The 9,060-nt window shown below is 46.8% G+C and overlaps 1 protein-coding gene across 6 annotated transcripts in view, besides 3 other annotated features; it reads right to left on the bottom strand.

Annotated features, from left to right (window-relative positions):
- Positions 2,327-2,826: an enhancer, noted in NCBI's record as "H3K4me1 hESC enhancer chr11:118001099-118001598 (GRCh37/hg19 assembly coordinates)". NCBI's record gives its function as "activates a minimal SCP1, AML or CMV promoter by ChIP-STARR-seq in primed H9 embryonic stem cells {active_cell/tissue: H9 hESC(primed)}" and the evidence as "EXISTENCE:reporter gene assay evidence [ECO:0000049][PMID:30033119]".
- Positions 2,827-3,328: an enhancer, noted in NCBI's record as "H3K4me1 hESC enhancer chr11:118000597-118001098 (GRCh37/hg19 assembly coordinates)". NCBI's record gives its function as "activates a minimal SCP1, AML or CMV promoter by ChIP-STARR-seq in primed H9 embryonic stem cells {active_cell/tissue: H9 hESC(primed)}" and the evidence as "EXISTENCE:reporter gene assay evidence [ECO:0000049][PMID:30033119]".
- Positions 6,467-6,636: an enhancer, noted in NCBI's record as "experimental_19222 CRE fragment used in MPRA reporter constructs". NCBI's record gives its function as "activates a minimal promoter by MPRAs in K562 erythroleukemia cells, with activity observed for both the introgressed and non-introgressed 11:117997374 variant alleles {active_cell/tissue: K562}" and the evidence as "EXISTENCE:reporter gene assay evidence [ECO:0000049][PMID:34662402]".
- TMPRSS4 (transmembrane serine protease 4) overlaps positions 7,705-9,060 on the bottom strand; it is a 48,428-nt gene continuing 47,072 nt past the window's right edge. For all 6 annotated transcript variants that reach the window (XM_005271613.5, XM_011542901.3, XM_011542902.3 and 3 more), the window contains one exon: positions 7,705-7,915. In XM_005271613.5, the coding sequence (XP_005271670.1) occupies positions 7,733-7,915 (183 nt within the window). In that variant the 3' untranslated portion in view covers positions 7,705-7,732. The remainder of the gene's footprint in view (positions 7,916-9,060) is intronic.

The raw sequence follows: 9,060 nt of genomic DNA, 5'->3' as shown, positions 1-9,060 counted from the left end.
ACATCTGGCACATTCACAGGTGTTTGGGTCGTTTTCATTCCTATACCTTCTCTGGAGAAGTTGGCAACGTGGCTCTTTAATACTGGAATCATTGCCAGGGCCCTCCTGGTATGGATGACCTTGGTCGTGACCCTGGCACCACAAATATCACAACAGCTCCTCCCCCAGGCTCACTCTCTCCTTCCCTTCCCCGGGTTAGTTAGGTCCAGGTAAAATCCGCTTCACATGAACGCCTACCTTCCAAAGAGTTTCCGGGTGCTGGGCATAAGGCCAGTGCCTGGGAAGGAACTGGGGATATGTACCAACGTGTAGGTGTTTGCTTATATTCTTGGACTTTCTCATACCACAATTTCTTACCATACCGTATTCCTCTCTTCAATGGATTCACCTCACACTGCATTTCAGTGTGAGGTACTCAGTACTTCAGTGTGAGGTACTCAGTATTTCAGTGTGAGGTACTCAGTACCTCAGTACTCAGAAGAGCTTGTTGAAAGACCCTCTCTTCTCCGTCAAGGACTCCAGGTACGCAGAATCAGTTTCGGCAGATGTCCCTGCCAGCTCTGCTTCCTCCAGCCCTCAGCTATAGAGACTGTGCGCTGCACTTCTGCCCTGAATGGATTCACCACCCGGGTTCCCCACGCAGCCACTTTCCTGTCTTCAGGTACTTCCTGTTGCCTGGGACCTCCTGCTACCTTCCCATCTGCAATACACCGGTTGGATATTGGGGTTTCCTGGGGCAAGCCTGGGTTTAGAACACTTGGGATGCTATGCATTGAACTTGCAGTTACCCCTGTAAGGATCAGTCCCCAGGTCTGATTAGGTCTCTGTCATTGCTCTGTTTCATCCCTACTTCCTTTCCCCACCCAATAGCCATTATAACTGACAGATGGCCCAATGTCTCAAAACCACATTAGGAACTGGGACTGTCCTGGGCAAACCTGGATATAGGGTCACTCCCTGTTAAGCTCCATGCCAGCCCCATGCTGACTCAATGGGGACTAACATACACACAAATTAAGGGTCCTTAATTTGGGCTGGTGGCAGGTACGCAGATCAGATTGACTTTAGGAGGTCTGTACACCTAAAAATAAAGGTGAAAGTGAACACATGTGCTTAGGGAACCTTTCAGAAGGGCCTTGGTACAAAAGCTGGGAATTACCTTCTACTCCCCCGCATTGGTGTTAGGAAAGAAGCTGGTTGCACTTTCCTCCCCTTCCTCTCCAAGCATGTCGTCTTCTCTGTTGCTTTCATAAGAGAGAGGGGAGCTTTGCTGACCCCAAGGGCTAGGCCTTTGCATTAAAGGAACAGAAAAGATTTCTTTTGATAGACCCTTTGGTCTTTTGGCCTTTGGGCCTTTGGGCCTAATTTCCTTCTAAATCCTGTCTTTGGCCAACTCTCCTCCCTCCCTTGCATTCTGCAACCCCCAGATTGGGTCGATTGACTCCCGGTGGAGAACAACCCTTTAACTCCCTATGTTCAGCTTTCCAGGAGGCTGGGGGGTATCCATGCCTCCTAACAGAGGAGGCAATAGCACAGGTGCATCTGCTCCAAAGTGGTAGACAGTTACCAAAAAGAAGTCTGGACCTTAGGAGTAAGAAATCTCTCAGATTGTGGGGAAGGTGGCTCATCTAGATCACGGGAAGGGGGAATGCTGGTCTCTGACATTCAGGGGCTAATTGGAGGAAAAGGAGGCCAAGAAGGGGACTGACGAGGAAGCACCCAAGGGCAAGGCAGAGTGATGTCTTTGAGGCCAATATAGAAACAGTGTTAAGAACAGGGTGACCATTGCTAAGTTAAGGATCAATCCTTGCCCCTTGGTCATTGGTGACCTCAGTGAACCCAGCGAAGTGAAATGGGTCAGCCAGATAGGGGGAGATGGCAGAAGCTTGATTCCAGTATGTGGAAGAGTCAGTGGGAGGCGGAAAATGGCCCTGGTGCATAGGTTACAATTTCAGTTAACTTAGCTGTGACAGGCATTGGCCCTGGTAAGGAAGGAGGGTAGATGGTTTTCTTTTAAAGATGGAAGAAATAAAAACAAGTTAAATGCACCTGAGGAAGAGACAGTGGAGCCAGACAGCCTGCAGTAGTTGAGAGAGAGGAAAGAAAGTGTCATTTGGGTGGACCCAAGGGGATAGGATCCAGTGGCCAGATAGAATGATTGGCCTTAAGACAGGTCAGGTCACACCTCTGGCACCAAGACAGGGGAAAGGGTGCCAAGGGGAAATGAATGCAGGAAAATCTGCAGAGGGGGCAGAGCAAGACATGGAGAGACTTTGCTTTACAATCTTTGGTTCCTATGGTGTTATCAAGTCATTTGGAGAGCAGACTTAAGGTTGAAGCCGGAGAAAGATGAAGACCCTCCCAATTCAGGAGCTCCAGGGCTCCCACTCCCTCAGGCAGATGGCCAGCCCTTCCACTGGCATTCTAATTGGACCTGTGCACACTGTAGCAGTAGAGCGCACACAGCAGGAGGGGAGATGTTCTCTCATAGCTCATTGCTTAAACAAAGCCACCCGCAGTGCTAACAGGAAAGATGTAGGGTCCCCTTCCATGGCCTGCAAGCAGATATAGAAAAGAACAATCCTGGACTTAGAATCCAGGAATCTGGGTTCAAGTTCTCACTCTGTTACCTACCAGTGAAACGGCCTTGGGAAAGCCACTTCATCTCTCCAAGCCTTAGTTCCCTAACCTGCAAAATGGGGATGATGACATCTACTGCATGGTACTCTTGTAAGATTAAATGAATCAACAGGTGTGAATTTTTTTTTTTTTTTTGAGACAGAGTCTGGCTCTGTTGCCCAGGCTGGAGTACAGTGGCACGATCTCAGCTCACTGCAACCTCCACCTCCTGGGTTCAAGCAATTCTCCTGCCTCAGCCTCCCAAGTAGCTGGGATTACAGGCATGTGCCACCATGCCCAGCTAATTTTTTGTATTTTTAGTAAGACGGGGTTTTGCCACGTTGGCCAGGCTGGTCTTGAACTCCTGACCTCAGGTGATCTGCTCGCTTTGGCCTCCCAAACTGCTGGGATTACAGGCATGAGCCACCATGCTTGGACTGAAATACTTAAAAACTACAAAGTGCAGGCCATGTAAATGTTAAGTAGTTTGTAAGCTGAGCCAGCATTACGGGAGGAAAACCCAGGTGTGGCCAGCACTGAGCTCACACCCTCCTGTTCCTGGTCAGGAGGGGCTGTCAGCTGAGTGGGTGAGGGCTGGGAGGCGAGTGACCAGCCCTTCCTGACTTCCTGGCAGACTTGGTTATGTCAACTGCCCAAAACCAAACTCATGATTTCACCTCAATCTGACCCCAAATCTGCTCCTCCCCACGTTTCCTCATTCATCCAGTCATCAGGCCAAAAATTTTGGAGTCTACCATGACTCCTTATTTTGTCTCCGACCTGAAACCTTTTTGTCAGCAAATCCCATTAACTCTTATGTTCAAAATATATCATCACCTCAACTACCTCTCGCTACCACCATCCCTACAGTCCTTGCCCAGGCCGCCCTGGCTCTCCCCTGGATTATTGCAGTAGCTTTCTCACTGGTCTTCCTGCTTTTACCCTTGGTCCTCTTTAATCTAATTTCCAGGGTGGTTCTTTTAAAACAGGATTAGATGATGTCATCTCTAGCTCTGGCCAAGGTGGAGGCATAGGGACCATTTACCCTTGCACCTCAAACAACTAAAAAAATTGGAAAGCACCTATGATACAATGGTTTTCAGACCCTGGACAATAGGCAGCAGAGAATTGTCATTCCTGAGAGGGAGAAACGCAGGAGATGAGCTTTACTGTTGCTCCAGTTTACTGCCTGGAGATCGTTTGTAGGCTGTAGTGCCTGGAAGGCTGGGGAGAGGGCCCCAGGCTAAGCCTAGCATTCTCTCTGAGTTGTGGAGAGGTGCCAAGAATCTGGGGGGAGGTTAGGATAGTAAGAGTTTGCAGGACCAGAGAACCTTGGAGGGTCCTCCCAAGTTTTCAGCTGAGCGCTGATAGTGCAGTTGTGTGAGGAAACTACCTAAGGCAAGGGAAGGAGCCTCTAGAAAGGATGAGGAAGGAAAATCCCTGGAGCTCACATAGGGCAGCCTTTAATCCAGGGCTGACCTCACCCCACTACTGAGGCAATGCCCTTTGAATACTCTTCCTCATCTCTCATGAATTAGGAAGTTTTGCCATTTTAGTTGGCTGTAATGTGAACTACTCTTCGCCCTGCATGAGCTCCGGGGATTGCTTCCTCTAATCTTTTCTGGTGGTTCTTTCTCAGCCTCGGGTGTGCCTGGATCAGCAGCTGAAGGCTCACGGGGACCGTTTGCAGATCTCTGGAGCGCTGTCTCTGTGAAGCTGTCTCTTCTCTGAGATACTGCCCAGTGAGCCCTATCCACAGGACTCCTGACTCCATCTCCTTGATTCTGAGAGGTTGCCAGACTCTGCCCGAGTCCCCTTTCCTGGTGCTGTAGCAATTGGAGGGCTCCCTCATTTGGTTCTCCGCTCTCAGGAATCACTGACCTGTGCTGCCTGATGCCCTGTGTCTGAAAGCCATTTCGTGCATTTTCCCCCCAGCGTTTTAGTTGTTTCAGATGGGAAAGTAATTGCATTTTTTGTTACTGCATTCTTGTCAGAAGAAATTCATGAAAATTTATGTTCACTGAAAAACCCGTACAGAGTTGCTTCTAGAGGTTTTGCCATTGCCAAAACAAATAAATAACCTAAATCTCTGACTGGTGAGTAGATAAAACAAACTGTGTCTAGCCATACAATACAATGGAATATTCCACAAAATCCCATGCACTATGGGATTCTCAAATGCAGTATGCTAAGTGAAAGCACTGGATGAATCTCAAATGCAGTATGCTAGGTGAAATAATTCAGACTCAGAAAGGTACCTGCGTTATCATCTGTGACCCATGTACCACTCTGGTGGGGGTGTTGATGATAATGAGGGACACTCCTGCATGTGTGGAGGCAGGGAGTATATATGAAATCTCTTTACCTTCTGCTCAGTTTTGCTGTGAAACTAAAACTGCTCTAAAAAAAATATTAAGTGTTGGGTTGGTTGCGGTGGCTCATGCCTGTAATTTCAGCTTTGGGAGGCTGAGTTGTAAGGATCCCTTGAGGCCAGGAGTTCAAGACCAGCCTGGGCAACATAGCGAGACCTTGTCTCTCCCAAAACATAAATAAATAAATAAAATAAAAATTAACAATAAAATAAAAAGTGAAGTATTAAGAAAGCCTAAGTCCAGGCGTGGTGGCTTACGCCTGTAATCCCAGCATTTTGGGAGGCTGAGGATGGTGGATCACTTGAGGTCAGGAGTTTGAGACCAGCCTGGCCAACATGGTGAAACCCCGTCTCTACTAAAAATACAAAAATTATCCGGGCATGGTGGCAGGTGCCTGTAATCCCAGCTACTCGGGAGGCTGAGATGCGAGAATTGCTTGAAATCAGGAAGCAGAGGGTATAGTAAGCCAAGATCGTACCACTGCACTCCAGCCTGGGCTGGACTCAGTCTCAAAAAAAAAAAAAAAAAAGAAAGCCTAAAGCCTCAAAAACAAACAAAAAGATACTTACTATATGGTTCCATTTATATTACATTCTGGAAAAAGCAAACTATAGGGACAGCAAACAATAGGGACAGCAAACAAAACAGTGGTTGTAAGGCGCTATAGGTTGGGGACGGGTTGGCTATAAAGGGCAAGCGAGGCTTTTTGTGGGTGATGGAGCTATGGTGGTAGTTGCTTACTTGTGTACATTTGTCAAAATTGGCAGAATTCTACACTAAAAATGAATTTTACTGTATGTAAATTACACTTTAAAAAAATTACAATGAGATGATGTCACTCTTTCTTGCTCAGAACGAGTGTCTATCTTATTCAGTCCTCATAGCAGCCCAGAAGGCCCTATTGTTCCGGCCCCCATGGACTCTTGGATATCTTCTTTTTTTTTTTTTTTTTGATACGAGGTCTTGCTCTGTTGCCCAGGTTGGACTGCAGTGGTGCAAGCTTGGCTCATTGCAGCCTTGATCTCCTGGGTCCAAGCGATCCTTCTACCTCAGCCTCTTGAGTAGTTGGGACTACAGGTACATGCCACCACACCAGGCTAATTTTCATATTTTTAGTAGAGATGGGGTTTCACCACGTCGCTTAGGCTGGTCTCAAACTCCCGCGCTTAGGCCATCCGCCTGCCTCAGCCTCCCAAAGTGCCACCATGCCCAGTCTAACTTTTTAAACCTTTAGTATTGTTTGAATTTTTATAACTATGCAATACATTTGTAATCAACACACACACACACACACACACACACACACGGGCCCACCATTTTGAGTCAGTCTCCCTGCCTCTAATGCCCAGATTTTTTTCTCTTCTCTACAGCGTGCTCCCACATCGCTCCTTTCAAATTCCCTTTCTGTTTTTCTCTCCCACACTAAACTCTCCCTGTTCTCTGGACATAGGGCTTCTTGGTACTTGTTCCTTTGTACGTGCCGAACCCAGCTTCTTGGTACTTGTTCCTTTGTATGTGCTGAGCCCTCTAGCTGGAAACACCTCCCTGGAATGGGTATGCGCCTGTTTGCTGCAGTGACACATGCCTCTATTGCAGTTCTTTCCCACTTTGTATGAAAAGTCTTTGCTCTGCTTGCCCCTAAACACTAACGGGCTGGGGCTGGAGTTTTCTTTACTTCCTGCTCCAGCACCTGGCCAAGGTTTGCACTCACCCTCCATCATGGTCCTGTAATGGCTTGCAGGTGAGGGTGGGGGCACCTTCTTGTGGAGGCAGCTCTGGGCCACAGTTGGGAGAACCAGGCCCATGCTCTGTTTTCGGGCCTCACCTCTCTAGGATTTAGTCTTCTTCCTTCCTTGTGAAAAAGGGGAGGATCTTCTCTACCCATCATCCTCCTCTCCACATCCTCCCTTCCAAAGACAGTGAGGATTTGCCATGTTAGTCAAGTCATAACTTCCTGGTTCCCTCTTGACCTCCCCAGCAGAATCACTTGTGCTCTGAGTGTAACGTGCAAAGGTAGGTGCATCTCAGTCCAAGTCCAGATCAGGAAAGAGCACAAGCATTTCAAGGTTAGCTGCTAAATGTCACACTGAGACATTCCATGAATGTACATATGTGTGTGTGTGTGTGTGTGTGTGTGTGTGTGTGTGTGTGTGTGTGTCTGCATATGTATATAATATATATTTTTTTCATTATCATTCTAGTTAGGTACATTTTTGTTTATGATTTCTCCTTTGACCTATGAATAATTTAGAAGTTTTTTTTTAAAGCATGTATGTATTTTATATTTTAAAAATTATTGTTTGCGGGCTGGGTGTGGTGGCTCACTCGAACTGGAGTTGGAGAACAGCCTGGGCCACATAGTGAGACCTCATCTCTACAAAAAGTAAAAAAAAAATTAGCTGGGCATAGTGGTGTGTGCTTGTAGTGCCAGCTACTTGGGAGGCTGAGGGAGGAGGATTGCTTGAGCCTGGGAGGTTGAGACTACAGTGAACCGAGATTGTGCCACTGCACTCCAGCCAGGGTGACGGAGTGAGATCCTGTGTCTAAAAACAACAACAACAACAACAACAACAACACAATTAAAAAACAAGCAAACAAACAAAATTATTGTTTGCTATTGCCTTAGAACTTAATAACGTTATAATCAAAGAGCTACATCTGTTTGATAGTCTTAGCCCAGGTTTCTCAGAAAACTTAAGTTTTCTACATTAAATTCATATCTTAACACTTTATTTGGGGGTTCAATCCCAGGGAAATGGGCATAAGGGGGACAGGGGCTGTAAGGCAGGGAATGAGAGAAAGCAAACACAGGTGGTCAGGCGATGTGTGTGCCGAGCTGACCGTAGCTCCATCAGCGGTACAGCTGGTTGCTGAATCACAAGACCTGTCCCTGGGGAGTTACAGCTTCTCTGAATAGTTCTATCCTAGGGAAGAAGGAGAAGCCATTTATCTGCTGGCTCCTTCCTGTCTCCCATCTTCCATTATTCAACATTTACCCCACAGACAATCATTTCCATGTTTTGTTACTCAGCCTTTCCCGGAAGCCCTGGGGAAGTCAGAGCTCTCTGGGTGCAGTCAGCCAGTCTGAGAGCTGGGGCTGCTGTGGCTGTCACCGTGGTGCATGCAACGAAGGCCACCCAACCCAAAGCCCAGCTCTGGTCCTGGCCCAGGGCAGGGGAAGACCAGTGGTAGTGTTAGGAGAGGAGGTGGTGGCAGTGGCCAGAGCTTTACAACTGTGGGAATGGAAGGGGCCAGAGCTGGGCCCATTCAAAGAAGTAAGCGGGCAAGTGACTAAAGCCTAGAGGCGGGAAGATGGGGGATGCTGGGGAGGCTGAGCGGAAATTGAAGGGAGCAAAGCTAGGCCTGGTGCTCACGTTACTTTTGAAATTTGTTGATATTACTTCTTGGACTAGTATGTAGTCAATTTTCACAAAAGTGCTTGAGAAGAATGCTTTTTTGCTAAGTATGGATAGTATATGTCTATTTATCAGGCATGTAAATGGTATTGTTTAATCTTCCATTCTTTACTATTCACCTGCTCGACATATCAATAATTGAGAGAAGTGTGCTTAATCTTCCACTTCATAAGATGGTGGATTTGTCAATTTCTCCTTATAGTTCTATCAGCTTTCGAGTCTATTTTATATTGTGTTTATATAAGTTTTAAAAAAATTGAGAAAATTTTCAAATATACAGAAAAGTAAAAAGAATAATAAAAATCTATTCCCTAGATTTCACACTCATTGACATTTTACCATATCTGCTTTAACAGTTTTTTTTCCTCCTGAAGTGTTTTTGTTTGTTTGTTTTGTTTTGTTTTGTTTTGTTTTTTGTTGAGATGGAGTCTCGCTCTGTTGCCAGGCTGGAGTGCAGCGGCGCCATCTCAGCTCACTGCAACCTCCGCCTCCCGGGTTCAAGCAATTCTCCTGCCTCAGCCTCCCAAGTAGGTGGGACTACAGGCACGCACCACCACACCCAGCTAATATTTGTATTTTTAGTAGAGACAGGGTTTCAACATGTTGGCCAGGATGGTCTTGATTTCTTGACCTGGTGATCTGCCCCACTCGGC

Source organism: Homo sapiens, chromosome 11 (genome assembly GCF_000001405.40).
Source record: "Homo sapiens chromosome 11, GRCh38.p14 Primary Assembly".
Lineage (NCBI taxonomy): Eukaryota > Metazoa > Chordata > Mammalia > Primates > Hominidae > Homo > Homo sapiens.
This window is presented reverse-complemented; position numbering and strand designations above follow the sequence as displayed.